Genomic DNA, 26687 nt, shown 5'->3' on the forward strand with positions numbered 1-26687 from the left:
CAGCTTTAGTTCTGGCACTGTCATTCATCACTGTGCAGTACAGAGCAGTGGCTCTCAAAGGGTGGTTCTGAACCAGCAGCATTAGCATCACTGGAAATTGTGTTAGAAATACTAATTAAAAAAAAAAAAACAAAACAAAAAACCCTAAACCTCCCAATTAAGCATGCTGGGGTGGGGCCCGGAAAAATGTTTGAACAAATAAATTCTCCATGTGATTCTGATGCTCACTGAAGTTTGAGAACCACACTAAAGTGTTGAGAATTGAGGAGTCTGCACTCATGTTCTTTGTATTTGCACTGCATATACAGGTCATTGCGTGTTCTATCAATGTGAAATCAAAGAGCTCCTTAGAGTCAGAATTTTGCAGCCACAAATAGACACATCTTTTGTTATCTATTCCCTGGCTTTTGATGTCCCTCCACTATAGCTAGAGCTTAAAAAAAAAAAAAAAAAGTGACTTGTTACCAGGGCTCTGAATGGGTTCTGTGGGAAACATTCTCAGGTTTTGTAGAGCACCTTGTGCCTTTCCTTAGAGAGAACAATGATGCCAATTTTGGGGGTTGCTGTGATTAGCTAGAGGCAGCGGCTGCCAGTTATAAGACTGAGCGGCTTTCTTAGCTCTCTGAAAAGTAGGAGAAATTATCAAGGAGCTATTTTCAAAGCTCATCATAAAAATTCAGCCAATGGTTGCTACTTCTCCATCTAAGTCACACATTTATATTCTAGTCATTGGGTCTTGGATTAATCCAGATTGTAGGCTAAGGACTGTAAATATCCTCTGCAGTGAAATGTGTCTGTTGGGTCATGGAGGACCCAACTTTTTTCAGAAGGAAGTCAGACTGCACATTTAATACTACAGCTTTCTTCTGTCTCTGCCTGGGATTTATTTCTCATCCATTTTCCAATCTTGTTTCTCTAAATTCAAATAGTTTCTCAGTTCAAACCTACAATTGTTATGTGCAATCATTTATAATTTTTCATTTTTCTGTCTCTTATGCCATAGACACCCCACCCCTATTTTCCTTTCTGCCATTTCATTTAATCTTCTTTATAATTTATTTTGGAAATGTGCTCTTTGTGATAACTTTATATGGGATGTCATTTCTGTGATGATAGTAGGCCAATAATTCAGAAAATATTATTTCTGCACCTCTTTGCCTACCCCCAGGAACTGCTTGTAAATAATGTTGATTAATTTGCAATCAGCACTTTTTAAAGCAGCATTCCATCTACAGCATAAAAATGCAATTTTAGATCTTATTGCACTGACACCCATTCTCAAAGAATAAAATGTACTTAAAACTAAATGATGGAGGTGCCTTTTCAATGATGTAGAAGTTTTATTTTCAGGTCCTCTATAATTTTTTTTTATGGTCTGCTCACTTCATCCTTCAATAGCTCCAAATAACCTTGTGCAATATATATGGTAAACTAGTCCATTGAATTCTATACAAATAATTAAAACTTATCCATTCTTCAAGCTCTTATGTAGCACGGACTGAAAGATTAAGAGTTGCAGGATCAAGAGTCCTGGACAAGAAATAAGGGATTAAGGGTCTTTCCTGTCTCCTTCTCTTTCTTTTCCCTTCCTTTTTTATTTTTTTGAGATGTAGTCTTGCTCTGTCTCCAGGCTGGAGTGCAGAGGTGTGATCTCGGCTCACTGCAACCTCTGCCTCCTGGATTCGAGTGATTCTCCTGCCTCAGTCTCCTGAGTAGCTGGGACTACAGGCGCGCACCACCATGCCCAGCTAAATTTTTGTATTTTTCATAGAGATGGGGTATCACCATGTTGGCCAGGATGGTCTCGATCTCTTGACCTCGTGATCCGCCCACCTCAGCCTCCCAAAGTGCTGGGATTACAGGTGTGAGCCACCGTGCCCAGCCTCCTCCCTTTCTTTATCTCTTTCTGTATAACTCTTTGTTTCCTCTCTTTGTACTTTCGTAGAAACCAGTGTTATTTATTTATTTTTATTGTATATATTTGAGTTATGCAACATGATGTTTCGGTATACATATGCATAGTGAAATTGAAATGATTACAACATTCAAGAAAATTAACAATCCATTTATTCATGTAATTGCTTTTTTCTCTTTTCTTTCTTTTTTGTGTGGTAAAAACCCTTGAAACCTACTCTCTCAACAAATTTCCAGCACACAGTACAATATTGTTAACTATAGTCCTCACACTGTGTATTAATTAGATCTCTGGATTTATCCATCCTACATATGAGAGGACTTCAAAACGTTCCTGAATAAAGGGAATTAAAAGATAAAAATAAAAACACAAACTTTATTTCTCATCATGAGCTCCATCAAGTTCAATTCACTTTTGGAAGCAATGATACCAGCCATTTGGCCCATCAATAAGGAACTGAGGGTCCTGGCAATTTAACCCTGTAATTGCAGTCTTTTTTACATTATTAACTGAAGAAAAATGAGTGCCTTGTAAAGAACTTCCACATTCTTACTTATTTAAGTTTAAATATTACTTTCCATGAGAAGCATTCTTGAATTACCACCCCCCCTCCCCTTCCTCTGGATGACCATTGCTATGTGCCTTTATAGTGTGCTGTGTTTCCCATTAGATTTCTCAGTACTCGTTATAATTACTTATTTAAACATCCTTCTCAGGGACTGTATGCTCCATGAAGTAGAGATAAAGTCTATCTTGCTCATCATTGCTTCTGCAGAGCCTAATACACTCCCAAATAAACATTTATTGCATAAATGGATTGTTGTAATTATTCAAATGTGAGACATGATGTTTTCCTTCAAGAAGTTTAAGGTAATCAAACCTTGACAAATCACTACGACATTAGGAAATATATAATAGGTGACTAGTAATAATAAAGGTAATTATAATAGGGTGATAACATTTGTATAGTGCTTATTCTATTCCAGGTGCTGTATTAAGCCCTTATTATGTAAGCTCGCTTCATTTGTACAACAGCTCCTTAATGCTCCTAATGTGATCATAGTATTATTTTCATCCTCATGTAACACGAAGAGGGGCTGTGTGACTTGCCCATAGCCACTCACCTGGTACATGAGGTTTCACATTCAAACTCCAAGTTGTTTGCATTTGGAGTTCATGTTCTTAACCTCTAGATTATACTGATGCCTTCAGTAAATGATCACTATACATTTATTGCAGGAAGGAGGTGATGAAGAGAGAAAGAAAGGATGGAAGGAAGGAGGAAGTGGACAATGAGGTAAATAAAAATGGATGGGTTAAATTTGGGCATATGGAGTAAGAGACCGTTTATTGCTGTGGAGAAATTGACATGCACAAGGGGGAAGAGGTAAGGGATCCTTAGTAATGGTGAATGAACAATTATCTCATTGCAGCCCAGAGCCCTCACCTGAGTTCCAAACATTTAAGTCAAACTGCCAACTTCATTCTCCATTTGGACGATTTCTCAACATGTACAAAACCAAGTCCTGATTTTTCCGTGACCCCAAATCTGTTCTATCTGAAGCCTCCCTATCTCAGTTACTGGTAAGTTCATTCTTCCAGTTATTCAGAAAATTAACTTGGGAATCGTCTTTAACACTTCCCCTTCTCTCATAACCCATATCCTATTTAACAGGAAAACATTCTTGGCTTTTCCATCAATATATACCTTTAGTCCTACCACTTCTGACTCCCCAGTGATACCTCCCTGATCTGAATAGAGGGTCGAGTTTTCAAGGTCCCCTTTCAATATATAGCTAGAAGCAATGCATATAAAACCTCAATCAGAACATTTCACTCATCTGTTCAACATTTTGCAGTGATGCAAATCAGTGTTCTTATGTAACTTAGAAGATGCTACGTGATTTAGGTTCTGTTATTTCAGTGACTTCATGTGCCACCATCCTGGCCCTCTCTTATCCTGCTGCAGTCACACTGGCCTCCTTACCATTCGTCAAGCACATTAGGCACTTTAGGGTCTTTAGCTCTGTTTCTCCCTTAGCTTGATCAAACACGGGTGTCATGTCCCACAAGCCTGGGTTCAGCTCTTACTTCAAGGAGGCCCGGCTCACCTATCCAAGTTAATGCTTCCTTTCCCAAAACTCCTTATCACTGTCACCCAGTTATGCTGCTGCCTTTTTTCTTACAACTTCTCACCTTGTAATATGCAATATTCTTCCTTTTTCACTATGTCTGTCAGTTATTTTCTGTTCCCTATGGCAGAAGTGAAAAGCCCATAGGACAAATGTCCTTGACCAGGAAACAGGGCCAGCTCCATCGACATATGCTAGGGCACTGGCATAGGGCCCTGAGCTTATAAGGGCCCTACATACATTTGAAGCTTAACACTCTGTGGTTTATGTCTTGGAATCCTTAGTACATTTATGTGTTTTGTCAGTGAAGTCTGTCAGGACAGTGTAACATGAGCTGGGAGGGGCCTCATTTCATGCTCTGTCCTGACTTTTGCTACCTCTCTGGGATAATTTTTTGGCTGCATACTTCAAAATTCCTGGCTTCCTGGGTCCTGCCTGACCTTTTTTTTTTTTTTTAGAGACAGAGTCTGTCTGTCTTTGTCACTCGCACTTCACGCTGGAGTGCAGTGGTGTGATCATAGCTCACTGCAACATCAAACTCCTAGATTCAAGCGACCTGATCCTTCCACCTCAGCCTCCGGAGTAGCTGAGACTACAAGTAAGCATCATCATGTCTAGATAATTTTTTTAAATTTTCTGTAAAGATAAGGTCTTGTTACCCTGCCCAGGCTGGTCTCAAACTCCTGGCCTCTAGGAATGTTCCTGTTTCAGTCTCCCGGTGTGCTGGGAATGCTTCATCTTTCTTTACCCTTGAAGTTGTGGTGACACTGAGTCTATATTTCACCATTGCCCTCCATCCCTACAGGGACCTGGGTAGCAGGAGAATGTGGAAATGCAGCAGTGGCTCTTGCCTTGGGTTGGCAATTGACATATGTTCTTTAGGTGGCTAAGTGGGGATTTCTTACCCATCCCCAATGTAGGTACTGAGCAGTAATGTTCCTGCACAGGCATTTAAAGTCCATGGTCTGGCTGTCTGTGGGAAATTAGCTCAGTGGGTTCTTGAAAGAGGAAGATTCTGGCCAAAGTCCTGCAATTTTGTTTTTCACTGAGCCCCACAAATTATATAGCAGGTCCTACTCTGACAGTAACTGATGGATTTTAATTGCCTAGATTTTAATTGCCTAGATATGAACCTTTCATCCAGTAGATATTCAATAAATATTATTGAATGAATGTAAACCAGAGTCACACCACACTCCACTCCTTCCTCACTTCAGATCTGTCAAACCATGGACGAGGGACAGTTTTGATGTAGACATGCAATTTTAGTTTTAAGCTGGATTGTATTGACTTTTAATGACTCTTAAGTGACAAGATAGTTATGGAATCTGCTGAAAGTATTATTAGAATATGTATTTCCCATTAGGAAGGAGAGACTTCCACAGCATAGTTGGGAACAGCTATTGGAGAAAAATAGGACAGTTTCATGCCTGTACCTCCACTATTGAGCTGATGAGCTCACTAAAGAAGATGATCGTCATGGTAGATGTGCTATGCCTGGGGAGAAGCAAAACTAGAGCCAAATAACTGGGAATCAGAAGCTGAGAAAAAGCTGAGGGAATGAGACTATAGCCAAACTGAAAAACAAGTTAGAAAGACAATGCAAGAAGTCAAGAGAAGAAAGCTGTGGAGAGAGATGTCAGAGGGAAGGACATGGCCGCTTGAATGCCCCTGAGTGTAGGCCAGGGCCTGTCTGACAGTCTACACACGCTCTGACGCTTCAAAAACAAAGACTGTAAGGCACCTATTTTGGAGTCAGGATAGGGCACTAATTTTTGTCTAAAATTGGAAGAACTAGTGATGTTCTACTTTTCTTCAATAGGCTTTTTCAATGCTCAGGGACTAAGTATATTGGGATATAAAAATTATGGTGGAGAGGCAAATTATCCTGGCATCCTGGGTAAAAACATGTTTTATACTTGGGACCTATAATATGGTACCAAATCTGTCCTCAAAGATGACTGCCTTCCATCCATGGTAGGGGTGGGAGAGGGGATGCCAGTAAGAAAAAAGCAGTCAAGCAGCAGCCCCTGGGTTGGTGGGCATAGATCCCTGCATCCCAAGCTGCACATCCTATGAATGTAGTCTGTTGTGTTTTGGTTAATATAACATCTAGTATTAAGTCGTGCTTACTTTTGGGTTCTCTCCAAAGAACCTCTTTAGGGATCCTGATATCATCTTTATTGGTTGTCCCATCTTAAAAGGAATTAAGAATTATGATTAGCACTTCTGGTTGATGGCCCAGTCCCTAGAATGCCTACTGAGGGCCCCATTATTGCTGTCATATTTCCATTAACAGTTCTCAGATTGGCTGTTACTCTGAGAATCAGATGTTACTCAGAGTTTTGCAGCATCCTATTCTCCTGGTCACGAGAGAGACCTCTAGACTAGCCCATGTCTCCAGGCTACTGAAGTGAAATAAATTTTTGATCAGGCTATGGAAGAAGCAACAGAAGACAGAGCTAAAATCAAAATAATTTTGATATAATCATTTCAGCTGAAGACATCATAGAAACATCATATACAGTAAAGATAAAAATACGGCAGCTGATATATAGAAAAGACTGGAATATTTAGCCATAGCATAGATATCAAAAACTTAGTAGGACCAAGGAACTGAACCTATTTTCATTCTAAGACTACTATTGGGTTGATATGTAAATAAGTCAGAAACACCATGAACCCATCCTATCCCCAGTGCCAAGTATCAATGAGCCCTGAGTGCCATAAAGTTTAAGCCTGAAACAATTATATCTTAAAAATTAAAATGATTTATGTGCACTCTTTGAATCCTCCAATTAAAGGCCCCATTTATACCCAAACTATTATTATTTAAAAACATCAAGAGCTTCTAAACTACATTATAGTTTGTATTTATAGTTTATATTCACATTATTAAAAAATTACCATTTTTTTCTCCTCTCATGGCAAAATTTTTACTTAAGTATTTACACAATAAAGAATGTCATTTAAAATAGTCAACGAAGGAATTAAACCACAACGAGAAAGATCAATATAATGAAACAATAAAAACGAAAATATGTGCCAAAACTATTATTAAAATGAACAGATAGTTACAGTCCTGACATTAAAACCATTTAATTTATAATCAACTCAGAAAAATTTTTAGTGACAAACATCTTAGAAGAAAATTAAATGGCATTTCAAGCATACCAAGTCAATCTCAGTGCAAATTTCAAAAGGACTTTTGTGGCTTTTGACAGGCTGTGTCTAAAACAAACTTAGGGAGAAAATGCATACGAATAAACACAAGTTAAAGAACAATAAATATATCTGATCCCTATCAGATGCCAAAAGGTATTATTATCTAAAATAATTATTTCTGAAAAACACTAGTATAGAAGTAGATCAATGCAGAAATGGGACTGACAGTCCAATAGCGGACTCACTCATAAGCACATTTTTTAAATGTATTATTGAATTCACATAATATAAACACAAGTAGGAAAACAAAAATAATTGGCAAAAATAAAAGCTGTGAGATGCCTTTTATATTGATAAAAATAGTTAATAAGTTTATAGGTAATATTTGAATTTCCTGAGGAATAAAAAGTGAATTAAAACAAAAATGGAATATAATTTTGGTCTAACATGTCAACAACTTGAGACTACTAAATAAAATATGTATGTCAATTTCTTTGACATTTATTAAGTGAAATATATCAATTTCATATGTAAGGGGAAGTATTTTGGTACAACTTTTCTGGAAATTAATTTGGCAATATATAGCAAGGGATATAATTTTAATACACTGTCCTTTGATCCTCTAATTCTGCTTCTTAAAAGTATTCTAGATAATGATCATAAATACAGATTTAAAATTGTGTACAAAATGTCCTTTTTTATAAACAACAGAATATAGACTAACCAGTTGACTCTTGGATTGCCTAGAATATAGGGAATTTAGCCATCTCATGTTGGATATGATCGTATGTAAACTGATACAGTTTGAAGATAAATTAGGACCAAAGTGTACGAAAGTCTTTAATGTTGCACAGACTCTGTAGCTGGCAATTCCACTTCTAGAAATTTACCCTGAAAATATAATTGCAATTTTTTTATGATTAATGAGTCATGGTTCCAAATTTTACTTTACGTAGAGATCAGCAAACTTTTGCTTTAAGGTGCCAGATAGAAAACAGTTTAGGCCACACAATGTCTGTGGCAAATGTGGTAGCACAAAAACAGCTACAGATAATGAGAAACAAATGGGTGTTGCCGTGTTCCAATACCAACAGTATTTTATTTACAAAAGCAGCCTGTGATGAACTGGTCTGTGCTCTGTTTAATTACAATGTAACCTATATAAAAATGAAATTTATTTTTCTGTAGAAAATAATAGTCTTTCTCATAAGCCTCCACTTACTATATTCATTGTTTTAACATTTAGCTTAGTATAATAATTTTTAAATTATTTCAGGTAATGATTATTAAATTATTTCAGGTAATGATTAGTATTTAGGCAAAAAATGTTCAGTCTTTATTATGCCTATTTCTTACTCCTGCTCTGCTCTAAGATGCATTTGGGAACGTGGTTTACATGACCTCTTGCCTATATGGTGAAAGAGTCCTCAGACCAAGATGCCCTCAGATCCACTTTGGGCTTGGATGCAGAGTCATCCATTGGGATATGTTTGGACTAATCTCATCTTTTGCTGCATTAAAACAAAGTCGAAACTTTCACAGTTCTCTGGGTGCATTGGGCTCAGCTGAGTAGTTCCAGCCTCACATATTTCAGGATTGCAGCTGTAGTGCTAGAATCATCTTGACTTGACGAAGCTTAATGTCCAAGATCTCTCAGTCACATGGCTGATAACAGATGCTGTCCATGGATAAAAACTTGCTTTAAGTTGTCAAATGGAGAGCCCACTCATGACCTCTCCATGTTTTGGGTTTCTCATAACATGGTGACTGGTATTCTCAGACACCTACGTAGAAGCTTGAAGACTTCTAATGACTTAACCTCGAGAAATCCCGGAACATTACTTTTACCAAATTCCACTGGTAAAGTGAATTCCAAAGGGAAGCCCAGATTCAAGCAGAGTAGAGGCACAGCCTCTATCTCTTGATAGAAGAATGCCTTGTGTTAAAGGAAAAAGAGATAAAGATGGTGGCCACTTTGGAAACAAGCTACCACATTATTAATTGTCATTCTGCTGGCATTGATATCTTTAGTTTTATAAAATATAAATAAATTCCTCTGATTTCTAATGAAGCTTAATGATCTCTCCCCCACTTACTCAACTGATGTTAAGTTCTAGTTCAAATTCTAGATCTTTCTGACTCTGTGTCATCTCCATCAGGCACCCTACCAAATCAGTCTTCCAGCTTTGTTGTAGGATCACCTTGCCCCTGCCATGCAGGATCCAGGCCACAGAAGAATTCAGGAAAGCTAAGAAAAGCAAACTAGAATTCTCTCTAACTGCACAATGTCATCCATTAATTATGCAGGGCTCCTAAATGTCTGTAAAGAACCAGATGAAGAAGAGCTGACTCCTGAACTCAAAATGTTTTTTTGTTTGTTTTCAATCATGACACATTTTGACCTATTTGGGTTAAAGTCTAAAAAAATAACTGTTGAGACACCCATCTGACTACTTCTCTTTCCATTGCCTTCCTTTCTTCTCTTTCCACAGTCATCCAACACAAGTGTAAGTTTATCTTCTTTACTTCACATTCTTCTTCCCCTTCCTGAATCCAGCCTTGTGGTTAAGCCTTTGCGAGGGTAAATATCATCTCTGAACTAAACGAAAAAAATATATTGCTGGCTAAGCTTATTACATATTACACCAAAAGAATTTCAAGCAGTTTCTTTCTATAGTAAACGTTGTTTTTAAACCAATTTTCTTGCTAAAAACATCTTTATTCTCCTCTTCTGGGTCTATATACTGCTTGACTCAGATTCTGAGGTGGAAGGTTAAGGAGATGAATTTTTAAAATAACTGGAAGTAAGAAAATATCTGAAAACTGAAGAAAGATTAAATAAATTGTGGCACAACCACTTGGTGAAATATTTAAAGATTTTTAAGTGTTTGCTTATAAAGAAAAAAGATGGAGATGTTAATTATTCAATGTTGAGTCTAATAGTCTACATTTGCAATGGAATGACATATCCCTTTTTTTAATGATATCTACTCTGTTTCCATTTGTGCCTTCTTCATTTATTCATATTTCTAACTCTGTAGTCTTAATTAGGAATGATTCTTAATACTCGGTTTTTGTTCTTTTCCAGTCTCTCAGTAATCTTACTTGCTTCCATGACATTGACATTGCTTCTTCTATGAAGAAGTTTTTAAGACTCAATCTGTACTCTGGCTGCTCTTGCGTGCTTCAAACTTTGTAACTATGTGCCTGCAATTCCTTTTGAAAATCCCATCTCCCGGACCAACTTGTGCCAAACCAAAGCTATCATCTTTCCATCATGACTGACACCTCTTTGTTCTTTTCATATTTCTCTCTATAATAAATAATCTATTTCCCAGGATGCATGGTCTGTAATAGTTTTTGACTCATCTTCTCTTGCTCTTATCTTCAATCTCCGTATCTGTATCACAGACACTGTTTGTTGCCTACCCAGAGCCACCTCCCTGCCTTATTCTTGACAATAGAAATTTGCTTCTTGACAATAAAAATTTGTGGTTTTATTTTTTTCATTATCAGAGGCCAGCGTGTCATGTCTCGAGGTCTAAATCTTGATAATTATAACATAGTAACAGTAATTTTACTTTTCTTGCCCATGATTGATTAGGGTTGAACATGCTGTATAATTTGGCCACTGAGTTCTGAAGGATCTCTGCTGAGGAGTCTTCTAGGAAAATTTTCTTCATTCTTAAAAAGTGACATAAGGAAGGGACTTTTTTTTTGGTGAAGGGGATGTACTATATATGTGTGTGTGTATATATATATACATTTATATACATATGCTTTATAGGTATATGTGTATATGTATCTACATACACACACACACAAACATACATATATAGCACTTCCCCTCCACCAAAAAAGGAATGTCTCTTTGTGTGTGTGGGTGTGTATGCACATACATATATATATGTGTGTGTGTGTGTGTGTGTGTATGTATTTTGGAAATGAGGTCTCTCTTTGTTGTCCAGGTTGGAGTGCAATGGCATGATCACAGTTCACTGCAGTCTTGAATTCCTGGAATCTAGCAGTCCTCTTGCTTCATTCTCCCAAGGAGTTGGGATGATAGGCACCATCACACCCCACGTACTTTAGTGTAAGGATGTGATGCTTGTAGCCACCGCACCCATCTTGAGACTATAAGAGGATAAGCCTGAAGACAAGAGTGAACTTGCTGAGCATCATAAGGAGAAAAATAAAAATAACCAGGGCTCTGGATCAGCTGCTGAATTAACCTAAGCTATGGACTTCTATACATTTTTGATCTGGGTTCTTAAATTAATTGAGTAGAAAGACCTTTAACTGCTATGTAGACAATTTCAGTGCTGTGGGAAGACAATTAGTAGTCTTAAAAATTTAGTTGAAGCCTTGGCTTGGCCACTTAAAAGTTGCGTGATACTAGGGAAACTACTTAATTTCTGTAAGTAAGTCGCTACATCTATGAATTAGGAACAACATTACCCAAACATTTAGTTGTTTCAAATAAAGGAGAGAATGCATACAAAATAAGTTTGAAAAGGTAAAGCACCATATCAATAGAAGATTCATATTATATTTTTGAGTGTGATGATTGATTGAGCCACGTTTCCATTGCCACTACTCTCTTATAGAAATAAATTCTATCATATTTTGCGGCAGAGATCTAAGTGCTACCTCTACCTGCATTATCAGTAGTCTGTAATTCACACAGGTTAATATTTATCAGAATTTCCATTTTTTAGAAATTTAGTTTTCTAAGAAGATAGGTCTTAACTGTTCTCACTACATACATACAAAAATACAAAATTACAAAGTAACCATGTGTGGTGATGGATATGTTCATTGGCTTGATTGTGGTGACTATTTCACAAGGGATACATATATTGAATCAAGTTGTACAACTTAGAGTACATACTATTTTTACTTGTCAACTATGCCTCAACAAAATTGGAGAAAGAGTAAAGATATGGAAATTTTGAATCAATTACTAGACTTAATTGGTAGATATTGAACTCTGTGTTCTATAAACAAAGCATCAACATGCTTTTTGAATGCTTCTAGAGGATTTAGGAATAATACTATATTCTACTCAAGAAAGAACTCTTAAACTATACACAGTAAATATTTTATACACAACGAAATACTAGTAGCTAGTATGTACTAGTGGATATTCCAATGCTAGGAATATGTCAGTAGGAAATGACAAAAAAGTGTTTTGCTAAATAATAATTTCATGGAAAGTAATTAAAACAGTTATTGCAATACTATCGATAAGAACTATGAAAAATTTTAATTTAAAATGTTTTACATGAGAACAAAAGTATAACTGGGGAAATTTTGTAGCCTTACATGCTTTTATTTTCCATTAAGATTCTTTTGCTCTTTTTTTATTTCAATAGTTTTTGGGGTATAGCTGCTTTTGATTATACAGATAAGTTCTTTAGTGTTGATTTCTGAGATTGCAGTGCACCTATCACCTGAGCAGTGTACACTGTACCCAATATGTAGTCTTTTATCTGTTACCCCCCTCCCAACCTTTCCCCATGAATCCCCAAAGTTCATTATAAAAATATGGAAGCTTAAGTAAGATTATAAAAGAACAACATGGTAAATCTTATGAATCTGGAAAAATGAGCTTAAGAAAGGTAGAATTATGATTAATAAAATTAGCAGAAGTAATTGTAGTGTAAGTGATTTACTTAATAAGTAAAATTTTTAAAAGATCCACACAGAGCATCATCAGTGAAATAAGAGGGAAAATATACTGTTTCTAGAATTATAAATAAGATAGATGATAGTTGTCTCTTTAACTATGACATAGATTCTATCTATCTATATCTATCTATAGCTATAAAGAGATATAAATAGATGGGGGGCACAAAATCAAAAACACTAGGAGTCCTGCACTTGCTTCTGTTGTAGAAAGTTTCAATAGACTGTAACATTCTCCCCAAACACCAAAAGGAAACTGGGAAAATATAATATAGTTTTTGAAAACCGATTAGAGGATTTAGAGGATTGAGGACACAAAGAAATTGAAATCAACTACATGACAGAAACTGAGGAGCCTTTCATAAAAAGGAAGAGACTGCTGCTGTCATCCTTCGCAATGCAGAAGAAATGCAGAAGAGGAAGAGGTAACCCAATGGAACATCCCTCAGGCTGTCAATTGACCACGTGTGAGCTGACATGGCAAGACTCTGGAAACACCTTTCCAACTCATTCTCAGGTCCCTTCAAAGGGCATCTGGAGAGCAGGCCAAAGTTTGAAGGCAGTTAAAACAAGAGTGCTGAGAGGGATTCCCCTTCCCCAGTAATGGGGGTGAGGGAGAGATTAAGGAAGCTAAGAGGAACGCAACATGAGCCCTCTGGGCTTCCAGGCCAAAGATGGGGCAGAAAGACCTAGAAACATTCCCAACCTGGCATTTCAGGCTTTTGGCTAAAAAAAACATTAGGACAGATCATGGAAGCTGAGGGACAAACCTGCTGGGTAGATAGGAAGGTGCCTCCTTTGCGGTAGTTATGACACGGGGTTATAGTTAAACAAAATCTTAAAAGCTGTCCACTTAAGATTCATACATCTCATTGCACTCAAGTTATTCCTTACTGTAAAACAATACTTGTAGGAAGAGGACTTTGGTGTGGGTATTTTATGCAGAATGAAGGGGAAGAGCATGAACACTCCCCAGAAAACATATGCTTTAATATCTTACAATACAACGTCTTTCCCCAAAGATTTGTATATAAGAATGTTATATTATTTTAATAGGCCCAACATTTGAAAAACGCCTGAAAATGAAACAATATGTGATTAGTTGAATAAACTGTGACACGTTTCCTGGTGCCAAACTATATAGTTATTACACTTGATGCTATAGATGTATATTTAGCTATAAAAAATTCTATATTGTTGATTTAAATATTTATTACAAACATACTCCTACCATATGATCCAGCAATCATGTTGTTTAGTATTTACCCAAAGCGATTAGAAACTTATGCCCACACAAAATCCTGCACGTGGATATTTATAGCAGCTTTAGTCATAATTGCCAAAACTTGGAGGCAACCAAGATGTATGGCAGTAGGTGAATGGATAAACTGTGGTACATCCAGGCAATGGAGTCTTACTCAGCACTAGAAAGAAATTATCAAGCCATTAAAAGAGATGGAGAAAAATTAAATGCTTATTGCTAAGTGGAAGAAGCCAATCCTAAAAGGTGACATACTATATGATTCCAATCATATGAGGGTCTGGAAAAGGCAAAACTACGGAGATAGACAGTACAAAGATCAGTGGTGGCCATGGGATCCGGAGTGGAATGTGAAGGAATGAACGGGCAGAGCACAGAGGATTTTTTAGCAGGGAGAATACCCTGTATGAGACTGTAATTGTTGATACATATCATTAAACATTTGTTGAAACTCATAGACTGTACAACACCAGAAATGAACCCTAATATAAATTGTGTGCATTGTGTTATGATGCATCAATGTAGGTTCATCAGTTGCAACAAATGTTCCTTCTAATTTAAATTTGTCTTCCTTGTAATTTACATTTTGCTAAAAACCTAAAGCAACTCTAAAAATATATTAAATGAAATAACTAAATAAATTATCAATTACAAAGCAATATGTACACTATCTTGAAAAATGCGTGTTACAAGCAGCAACCAACAGAGATGGAAGGATAGAACTTTAAAACCAAATACTGATTATTACCTTTCTTCTGTTTTTCCTACTGTTTGATTTGTTTCTGCAATAAGTTTATAGTATTTTTGTAATTAAATTCAGGTTATTTACCAATAAGAAAACAAAAAACATTCTGATGATTAAGATAAAGGTCTCAGGGAAAAGAGCTAACATATTAGAATATAAAGTAATTATTAATTCAACATTACTCAATACCATGAATTACTGTTATGCTTTATGTTAACGGCTTAAAGAAAAAAATTATGGTCATACTGACACTAGTGGCTGAAAAGTCACTTGATTAATTTGGGACAAGCAGCTAATTATTTGAGAAAAAACAAAAGCAATCCCTCTACTTTAGATAATTCATCCAAATAAATCAATTTTAAAAAATTAAAATCATACTACAAAGTAAGAGCAAATAATTATATAATCTTGAGACTACACAAAGTATTTCTGAGCATCAAACTGAATGTCAATGTGCTAGAGAAAACTATTGATATATTGGACTATTAATTTAAAAGCATTTTTACCACTAAAACCTCTAAAATTAAATATCTAAGGAAAACATTTGCTATAACAATGGGAGTGTTAACTGTACTCTTACAAAACACTATTAAGATCACTTAATCACAGAAGAGATATAAATTAGAATTAAACATATGAAATTGTTTAACTTTTATAATCAAAAATTCCAATTGAATCTATAATGATCAACATGGAAATTGTTAAACTGTCAAAACTAAAAAAGATAATCATTTCTGGTGAGAATTTAGAGAAAGTTACCATCTCAGTATCTGATGGGGCAATGCAAATTGGGAAAAATTTTTCTGGAAAGTGATTTAGGACAGCCTATGTCAAAATCCTTAAAAATATGCATATCCTTTGATCCAGTCAGTCATTTCACTGCTAAGAACTGATTTTTCCTGGAGGTGTGTTTGCAAAGATAAAAATTCATGAAGCTTTGCTTATCATAGCATTAAAAAAAATGAAAACAAACTGTTTACCCAAAAGAGAACTGAGTACCTTCTGATATATCCCTAGTAACCAATAATATAAAACTATTAAAAGTTATTTTATTGTAAAAACTTTATTATCTAAAAATATATAGCAAACAAAAAGCTTAGCATAGCTTTTAGCTTAGGATTTAGCAGGCTCTGGAGCCCAAATGCCTAAGTTTTTTTTCCCAATCCTACCTTTTATTACTATGCATTCTTGGGCAAGTTACTTAGCGTTTCTGATTCTCAGTTTGGTTATCTGAAACAGAAATAATGGTAGCAGTCTCATTAAATTGTTTTGAGGGATAAACTAGTTCATAGATATAGAGGAACAGTGTCCCATATGCACTAAGTCCTTACAATATTTGATGTTATCAATAAATATTGTAGATCTAATTGAAAACATTACTTTTATCATAATCTTCTTCCATATCAAGGACATAGAGTGGCTTCTAAATGTATAGATGTTGAACCTAAATGCTTCCACTAAGCAGAAAACCCACCCTATTGTAAAGAGTAAACAGAAAATTCCTTGTGTATGGACACATTCAGATGCTTCTGGCTCTCCTGTGGCACCTCTCCCAGGCACTCCTGCTAGACATGGATCCTCCACTCCCTTGTCTTTCTTGGATCTGTGCCCAAAGCTGTTCTTATCACTAGACTACCTATGTCCTTCCTTGCCTTATCTGTTCTACACCTGGCCTTTAACACTCATAAGTCATGCTTTTTGTATGAATATTTCTCTCCCCTCTCCAGCTCATGAGATTTTTTTTTAAGTCTGACATTAAATTCTATGCCATATCCCCTGGTCTTTACAACATATTTTCCTTAGAGATATGACTATCTGATTCCCCTACTCCCCCAAAAACGTCCCCAAGAGTGGATTTAATGCTGCTTCTCTCAGGAATCCTCTTAGTACTCTATAAAGATATGATAGATACAAAATTAGCCATGCATTTAAATTTAAAGCACACCAATACTTAAATGTACATTCAGACTTACAGCATCTGTGGTCCAATCCGCGGGAGTATTGGCTTTTCTAGAGGCAATCTCAGAAGGCTTCCAGACTGATTTTGATAGAGATGAAGAGCCCAGCCTCACACAATAGCAGGAATCAAATGGGAAATTTGTGAAATAAGATGCCTTCCTGAGATTTATGTCACGCTGTTCCTGTCTCTACAGAATCCACAGATTTCTTCATATATTACAGAACTGTGCTTTCACTCTCTCATAAAAACTAAGGCGGAGAACATTTCAGAAAGAGACATGTGCAGTGTGTATTGGTTCCTAAGTTGTCTGAGAGCTTAGGAAGTCAGAGAATGGTCTCAGTTTAATCAGACCAACTTTTTTCATCACCCTTTCAAATAATTGGATGTATCTGCTGGTTGCGGGGGCCCCAAGAATTTCAAAGTCTAGCAAAACCTGATCAGCTTTACAGAGTTCTTCAGTACCTCTCAGACTAACTAACTACAAATAATTTTCCATTTATCTGAACCTGGTGACAATATCAAATCACATTATGTTCATGTGGAAAGTAATTGAAAGGTAACTCTTTAGCTCTGAATTCAGAAGTTGGTAAAAAGTCTAATATTTTCAAAAGCTGTATCATTTTGAGGAAGTGAAGAAAATCGCATTTTTCTGTCTTTCAAAAGAATCTAACAGTATCATTTATTGTATTTGTAAGTTATCTGGGCCGTGCTGCTATGATGTTAAAGGAACAAATTAAGAACACAAGGTTGAGAGATACAATGTGGCAGATTTCAAACAGGACAGCTGAGTACAGTATTACTTTTTTTTTTTTTTCCCCAAGGGTTGACGTAGTAGGAGAAATACATAGACTGGTAAATGCAACTGGAAAAAGAAGGTCAAGTAAAACAGCATTTCATCTGAACAATGGTTAGGGATCCGTTCTTTTACTAATCCATCCATTACGTCATTTTTTTAAGTGTTTTATTAAGCAACCTTTGTTTTAGGAACTGAGCAAGCAGCAGGAACAAGGCAGATAAAGTCCCTGAGCTCATAGTGTCCAGCGAATAAAGAAAGAATGTATCTGGTCGTCTCATTCCCCAGGAATTAATGAGGAAGCACCAGATGTCACTAGAATGGGAATGTCTTTGGGGAAAAGGCAAAATTGTTGGCTTCTCTGAGGGCACTTTCATTTTTCTACTTGTGTACTTGTTTTATCTTTCATAGAAAAAATGGGAGCTCCTCAAGAATAGGTTCTGTATTGCAGCAGTCCCCAACCTTTTTGGCACCAGGGAACAGTCTCATGGAAGACAAGTTTTCCATGGACTGGCTGGGAGCATGGCAGGGAGGTGGGGGTGGATGGTTTCAGGATGAAACTGTCGCACCTTAGATCCCCAGGCATTAGATTGTCCTAAGGAGCATGCAACCTAGATCCCTCACATGCGCAGTTCACAATAGGGTTCATGCTCCTGTGAGATTCTAATGCTGCCGCTGCTCTGACAGGAGGCAGAGCTCAGGCAGGCAGTAATGCTTGCTCACCTCCTGCAGTACGGCCCGGTTCCTAACAGGCCACAAACCAGTACCAATCTGTGGCCCTGGGTTTGGGTACCCTTGCTATATTGGATCCATTTCATTATTATCTTAGCTCCTGGCCCAATTCCCTGCCTTGCAAGCCGCAAACACCTGCACCCATTAAAGACATTTGACTGTTATATATTTTTTGTATTTCTTAGAGTATATATTCAATAAACATTAATGCAAGATTGTTATTTCATGTCTTTCTCATATTCCTATAGTTAATTGGCTCTACTTTTTCACCACTCACATATTTCAGAATTCCTTGACCTCTGGATCTCATACTGACCATTGTGTGACCATTTCCAGAGTCTTCCTTTCAGGCATTGCTCTGCCTTGTCCTGTGTGATTACTTCTTGCTCCTCCTGTACTTCTATAAACTACGACTTAGCTATCTTTGTGTCTTTCTAATTGTTTACTTTTTCTCTGTTGTATTTGATGCTTCTGTTCAACTGCATTCAGTTCAATGCAATTCAATTCAGTTTAATTAATAAATATTTGAACAATTGCTATGTACTGGATACAGTCACCACCTCTATTTGGAATGCTCTAAAATTCAGTCCTCTGCTCTGTGATGGATCTAATCCAAAATTGTTTATTGAACATCATCTCCTGGGTGACTTGTCATCTCCCCATTCTCAGCACTTCTACAATTAAATTTATCCTTTCACTTTAAAAATAAGGGCCTATCAAATTCTTAGGTGAAGGTGATGAACATTATTTAAGCAAGCAGTGTACAAATCATGTTGTATTTAAATATTTCTTCAAAAATCTCCTTAAGTAAAACAATTTTATTTCACATGTGACTTACACCAACCACAAAGTGCTCTTAACTTGCTTTATCATTATTATAATCTCTTCCACTGCAAGATGTACAGCATACATGGCTAGATTACAAAGATGAGTCAACTGTAATGACACTCCACTCCTACAGAAGCTCTTGTAGATCCCTCAGTGTGGGGTACAATAGCTTGGGGTGCAATACCTTTACCATCTTTGTCTTATTTACACTACTGCTATACATACGTTCCACATTCCAGAGAAAGTAGAGGTCTTCCTGATTGCTATGTGAGTTCTTGCTTCTGATTTTATCTTTACCTATTCTCCTCCTTCAGTGTGCTTACCACTATCATTCTGGGTATTAAAATTTCCACCTTTCCACCTTTTAGGCCCTACTTTAAATCACATATTATTAAGGATTATATACTATGGTGAAAAATAAATTTTAAAAGGGAAATAAAGAGCATGGTTTTTAGAAACATTGAGACTTGGATTAAATTTTAGATCTACCACTTTTCATGCTATGTGATTACTGAGAAATTGCTTAAAATTGTGACATTGCTCTGTGGGAACAAATTCCTTATATTCAAAATGAGGATAATATCTACCTTGAACTTGAGTTAAGAAGGTGATTATATAGCACTACTTGATTGAAATAAATGTGAAGATACACGAGGGATGCTGGGTTTCAACTATCTTGGAATTTAGGAAATTATTGTTAAAAATTTAGGATGAAATTTAAACATTCACAGCACAATTGTGATCCTGGGAAAGAACAATTCATCTAGACAGAAAAAAAGTAGACATTTTCACCATGACTTGATACATTCGTAAACAAGTTGGCAGGTCATAAAACTCTCTATTTTTACCCCCAGAGATCCCTTACTACATGGGAGTAATTTCCGAAGTTTCCAGGGCCATTTCATTCCCGAAAACCTCTTCCTCCTACCCTCTAACATGAACGTCAACTTATACATTTCGTCTGGAACCGAAATTCCAAGTTAAAATCATGGCAAATGGCTAAAATGGCTAGGCGGTGGACCTTAAATGATTTGTAAAAAGTGATGAATTCTATTGGTTTTAGATTTTGACATGTTACTTCTAGAAAAGGACTTCTAAATACATATTCTTTAGGTTTACTTACGTACACTAATTTTTTTTAAGCATACAAACAAAACCAGATAGTGAGAACAGTTTCCATCAGGATTACAAGACACTGCAAATTTGCTAAACTGTTATACCTATCCACTGACCCTCCAGACAATGATCTTAGAAGCTGGACAAGATAAAAAGACTGAGTCAAATCCATGCCCCTACTTAACCATGTACCGCCAAATATTAACCACAGATTTACCTCTTTCAATTAAATGACTAAATTTAAAAATAAGTACCTAAGAAAATATTTGACAACATAAAATTATACTGAGATTCTAAAGGATAATCTGGCCTTAAAAATCTTTACTCAAGGAAGCGAAGGAATCTTAGCATCATGTTAGTTTCTCAATAAAACTAAAACATGTACCTGCGTAAACACACATACGCACACACACATACGCTTACATACACATATACACACACACACGCACACACATACATGCATGCACATACACGATAAACAAAATCATATAAGTAGGAGAGCTGAAAGCATCCATATTGCCCAGTTTATCCAAATTCAGTAATTTGACTCTACTACAGGCCTCTACTGGGTTTGAAGTTGTTATAAAGCTTGGATTTTCTCAACTTTATGTAAAAAAGAGTGTTCTTGTTGGTATTTGGCAATTTTCTATGTTTTGATCCCTCTGAAAATTTATCCCAACCACTCTCTCTCTTCCAGAATTTCCTAAAAGTTTGTGCTTTGTACCTTTTCTTACTTTCTATTATTTATATAAAAGTATTATTTCTGCAATTTCAGTTAACTTTTAGTGCAGAGAAAAGTAAAAAAAAAAAAAAAGGGCTCAGTTTACAGTCTTGATCCAACTCCTCTGTTGTATGTTGGTTTTATATGCAAGAAAACAATAAATGTTACTCTTTAAATATAGCAATAATTAAAATTAAAGAAGGTAGTCATGTTAAAAAAACAGCTAAGTAGAATAGCTCACTTCTCAGTGATGATCAATATAATGAGGCATTTCTGTGCCATGAAAAAACAACAACTTGTAGAAAATTCCTTTTGAGACTCACATTGTAAATTACTTAATTTTTTACAATTTGTTTTTCTCCTACTCTATGCTACTCTTAAAAAGGAACTGTGGGTTTAAAAAAAACCATTTCTAATAACATAGTAACTGTGTGTGACTCTCTTCCCTGGGCATGAGGGGTCAACCTTTAATTTAAATATCAAGCATTTATTGTGCCACAATTGAAGAGACAGTAAGTAGCAAAATATCAGTTCTCATACAGTATTTTAAATCCATTCCAAAGTGAGAAGAACTATACTGCTAATATTATTTGCAAAACCTTTGCCAAATAAGATTAAAGCGTAAACCATATTAAAGCATTTGATGTGTACTGTAGCTAAATATACCATATCTATAGAAAATGTTGCATCCTCTGCCTCCAAATAATAAAAGCACATAGCAGGTGTTATTGTTTGGTCCCAGATATATAAAGACAACTAGGAATAAGCACACCCTTACCTGACACTTAAGCTTAGCACATTGTCACTACATATTGTAGTTACTTGTGTACATGTATATGCATGTATATGTATATATACATTATACACATGTAAATGTATCCTTGCCTTGTTCACCTTTCATTAAAATAAGCATAATAGGCCAAATAGTGTCTGTCTGTACTAAACTCCATTTCTACCCCTTGTTCTCTGTTCTGTATTGAGGAGGTTGGAAAATTAAAAATGACATTCTTTGGACTCCTTTTCCAGTTAGATTCTGATCAGTCCCCATCAGCAGAAGCAGCAGAAAAAGGATGGAAAAATTGGGGCTCAAAAAGCATTTGTAGGTAGGGTTGATGCACTAGTTCTATTTTCTCTCTTTTGCTTCTCTAGTCCTAGAAGAAGGGTTTCAGATACTTGCCCCACTTTCTGATCTCTGGATTGTACCATTTCCTAGTGTTTCCTGTAACCCTTTCTAACAATTTTTAGATATATTTCTGTACCAAATTTTCTTCTGTTTGAAATTCTTAAAGTGGTTTCTATATTTTTGACCAGATCCTGGCTGATGGATGTAATGAAGGCATGAACTATACTAGTTGAACAAGGAAATGAACTTGAACCAAATTGTGAAGTTCTCTGCAGTGAAATATTAAAGGTACAGATCAAAGCTTTCTCAGCAGTGTCCACTCCACTTGATCTTCTTGAAGCACAACTTTAACTGCTTTGTTGTAGCTGTCAGTCCTAGAGACCAAGTGGTAGAAGGGATAGATAGCTTATCTTCACTCTCACCACCTAATTACACCTCCTTCAACTGATTTCTTGGGCACATAACCTCTCAAACATTGCTTTTGTTACGACCCTGATACTGCTTACTTCTATGCCTATAACAGATGTGGCCTTTACGTGGCCTTCTTATCACCAAAAAGCTTGAAGGATATGGACAAGAGTGATATGCCCTTTGAGTTAGTATCTGCTAAATGCAGGACTGGTTTCAGATGAGATGTCATATTTGTCATGTGCAGCATTGCCTGCCTGATCCACTTTGTCATACTACTTCTTCTAGTATGTGTCATATTATGTTAGGTTATGCCATCAGAGATAACAATAAGACACGCTATTACTAGAACAGGAACACATTGTTGCCATAGATTCAGAAAGCTCTGATTCTTATGTAGTCACCAGAGACACATGAGCTGGATCTTGTAGCAGAAAGTCCTGCGCCACCGAACAAAATATGCATCTTATTTTTTTCAAAAAAAAAAAAAAAAAGTCAATAGACTTGAAGAAATCATGAGGGTAGTATTCTGGGGAAAACAACTCCATCAGTGTTGAATTCTGAGCTCCAGTGCCTCTTTACATTCAGCTCTTGCCTCACAGCAATGGCAGTCATTTGGGATAAATTGTGCCTTGATGCTATGGCACCAGACAGATTTGAAGGAGCATCTTTATACCTTTCAAAACGATCTTCCATTTAAATAGATAAGATGGTCTGGGTCTCGCCACTTTGATGCATATTTAGAATCAGAACGGATTTCTCTTTCAGTTGCCTGTGGAAGACACATTTCTCCAAATCAATGTCTGGAATTGCTAAATAAATTTCAAAGAATAGATTTTTTTTTCTGACCTTATTTGAATGTCTAGACATTTGTGGATTATTGAATCTAAACCGTCTAAAACACCAGGCCCATGTTTTCCCCAACCAAATTTAACTTGTAGATTAAGAACACAATTATGAATTGTAAAGTCAGAGCTTCGGGGCCAGGCTTGTTGGAGGAGAACTGAGAAGTAGAAACAAAATAAATGATCACTTAAAAACCTTCTGACATGATGGAGAAAAAAAAAAAAAAAAACGGGGCATAGACAATCAGAGAACAATCACTGACCAATTTATTGATGCTGATATTAGGGCAGGAAGAGTACAAAGGAGGGAAAGGGAAAGTCTAAGAAAGTTAATGTAATTGGAATAGGGCTAATTAAACCTATTCACAGATAACACATATTTACATAAAACATGTTTCACATTTAGAGGCTACTCACCAGGTTTTTTTCATTTGAAATTCAAACTATTGTAAGCCTGTTATATTCTATTAGTAATTGCTATTAGATGGTAACTTAAAGAACAATTATATGATGGTTCATAGGAGGAGGCTGTTATCAGCACACCTGGAAATGGTAAAAGGGATTCCTTCCCCATTTGTTCCTTGCAAGGAGCAAATTGCTGTAGGGACAGTCCAGTGGGAGGGGCCTCTTGAAGGGGTGAAAGTCCCAGCCTGTTGAATACCTTCACAGATTATTTCCCATTTTTAACAAGTATCTCCCTTATCATGAGAAAAAAAAATGTGATTTTTCCTTCTAGCCCATATTTAACCATCATATTTGTGCATATGATTGCAGCTCTGCTGAAAGGACTTGGGAGTGAGCTGCCAGGCTACAGGGGATTGAATCGAAAGCCCCCTAATGGTTAAAGTGTCCATTAGCTTCTCTACACTTAGCATCCATCAGAGAGAAGACAGGCTGGGAGCCCCGGGCGAATTTCTAACTAGCCTAATGAGGAGAGAGATTCTGGGAGCAAAAAAAGTTCATTTGCTGAATTTCCAGCAAGAAGTCACTTCAATATTGCTTCTAGGAAACACTGACAGGCTTTGTTGGTAAGAAATCATTATGCTGAGAGAGAAATGGGATATTGTTATATGACGTTTTTAAAGAAAATTCATTTTGATAGATGTCTAACTGTGCATTCAATTAAATTTCCTTCTCTTTCTTAAAAATAGATGTCAGGTAATTGTACTCAAGTTCTGTAAGCTGAAAAGTGTTATCCTTTCCTTCCAGTTATTAAAATTTCTTTATCAATAAGTGTCTTTCTTGTCTTAATCCTTTGACTATGGGGGGCCCTCAATGGAAATACATGGAGTTCTCCCCTCCTTGCCTGTGGATGTGTGCATGCCTTCCTGAAGAATTAGTAAGGACTGTTTTTTTTTTTTTCTTTTTTTCTGGTAAAAACTGACTTCTGTATTTAAATTATGTAGGTTCCATGCTCCCAAAAATTGTTCTTAAAAATCTATATGCATGACCATTTGCTAGACACAAGCCCTTGTAGTTATACAATCACAAGTCAGCATTATTCACCATGATGCCTCACTATTTCCTAACTATGTATCCTGCCATTTGGGAATGAGCGTTTTGAAGCTTTTTTTTTTTTTTTTTTTTTTTTTTTTGAGATGAAGTGTTGCTTTGTTATCCAGCCTAGAGTTCAATGGTGCGATCTCGGCTCACTGCAACACCCACCTCCCAAATTCAAGCGATTCTTCTGCCTCAGCCTCCCAAATAGCTGGAATTACAGGCACATGCCACCCCACCTGGCAAATTTTTGTATTTTTAGTAGAGACAGGGTTTCGCCATGTTGGCCAGGCTGGTCTCGAACTCCTGACCTCAGGTGATCCGCCTTTAGTAGAGACAAGGTTTCACCATGTTGGCCAGGCTGGTCTCGAATGCCTGACCTCAGGTGAGCCACCTGCCTCACCCTCCCAAAGTGCTGGGATTACAGGGATGAGCCACCGTGCCTAGCCCTTGTGAAGCTTTTAACAATGACCAACCTGATGTTCAAAGGATTTATCCCCTTCAAGATACCCTCTTACTCCCAGCAGATTCATCATTCTAAAATATAGCTTTGCAAATGTATACACACCTGCATCTGAAACATCTAAACCTCCAGTGGCTGTGCATCCCTCATCTGGAACAACCCACTTCTCGTTCTGATTATCCATTTGCCAGCAATGTTACCCTCATGTTCCTGATCAACCAGACACCTACTCTTGGAGTCATCTTCATTTACCTTCCCATTTCTCCTCACATTCATCAGAGCCACTCACTATATTCCCACTCATATATGTGAAGTCAATCAGAATTTTCCCTTCACAATATTGGTCTTATGTGCTCATGCTTCTCCACGGCAATTGCCATTTAATTAATTCAGACTCAGATATTTTGCCTTGACTATTTTCATAGCCCATTATTTGCTTGCCTTATTCCAAATAATTTCACAGATGGACAGCCATATACATTTTGCTGAGATTAATTTCAACCACATTCCAATCAAACATTCCATGACTCTCTCACTGTGTACTGGAAACATACATCTTAGCATTTAACACTTTCCAAAATTTCATTGACACCTACATTCCAGAATTTACCTAGTACTTTTACATCAATGTATGATAAGTTCTCACAAATTATAACTATGCACTGCCATTGTTGTGTCCCACAGTGTTTTATATTTGTACCTCCACTCATATTCTCCACTTCAAGTGGAATGTCCTGTCTCCACTATCACTGCCATCAAAATATTAATCTGCTTTGAGACTTCTTTTCAAATTCCAATCATTTCATGAAGCCTTTGCTGATAAACCAACTAAGCAGAATTTCTTACTTCTCTGAGAAACAGCACTAATAGCACTTTGTGGGCATGTCAAGTAGAGGAAAATGAAGAGTAACAGTAGGTCTTAGTTTCCACAACGGCGAGATTTCTAAACTCTTTCTTTCCAATTCTCACTCTTTGTGAACAAACGGTCTGTTGCATAATAGAGGACAGAAAAAGCATCACTTCAGAATGTCTTTATCAAGGGGAATGAGATCTCAAAAAAGGCTTTAGCGCCTTGGAGAGAAAACGGAGTGAGTTATCAGATCAAGCTAACTCAGCCTAGCTATTTCCCAACTTTCAATATGAAATTATATAGAAATGATGGGCAATTTGGGGCTTTCATTTAGGAAAGCAGTGGCACTAGGATTAAAATGTAGCAGGCAGGCTATTTCCAGAATTGAGTTAACTTTAACTCATTTCTAACCTTCCCATATAAAAATAACAGACTGACTACTAAC

General features: G+C 36.6%; 2 long non-coding RNA genes across 2 annotated transcripts in view; one reads left to right on the top strand and one right to left on the bottom strand.

The window, feature by feature from the left end:
• Positions 1 to 17175, bottom strand: part of LOC124908056 (uncharacterized) — a 32435-nt gene extending 15260 nt beyond the window's left edge. Inside the window, exon 1 of the long non-coding RNA XR_007088663.1 lies at positions 16880 to 17175. This is a non-coding gene — a long non-coding RNA (uncharacterized LOC124908056). The remainder of the gene's footprint in view (positions 1 to 16879) is intronic.
• LOC105374320 (uncharacterized) overlaps positions 3179 to 26687 on the top strand; it is a 28997-nt gene continuing 5488 nt past the window's right edge. The window contains exons 1-3 of the long non-coding RNA XR_939813.3: positions 3179 to 3212; positions 3349 to 3499; positions 22368 to 22467. This is a non-coding gene — a long non-coding RNA (uncharacterized LOC105374320). The remainder of the gene's footprint in view (positions 3213 to 3348; positions 3500 to 22367; positions 22468 to 26687) is intronic.

The sequence above is a fragment of the Homo sapiens genome, chromosome 2 (genome assembly GCF_000001405.40).
Source record: "Homo sapiens chromosome 2, GRCh38.p14 Primary Assembly".
Lineage (NCBI taxonomy): Eukaryota > Metazoa > Chordata > Mammalia > Primates > Hominidae > Homo > Homo sapiens.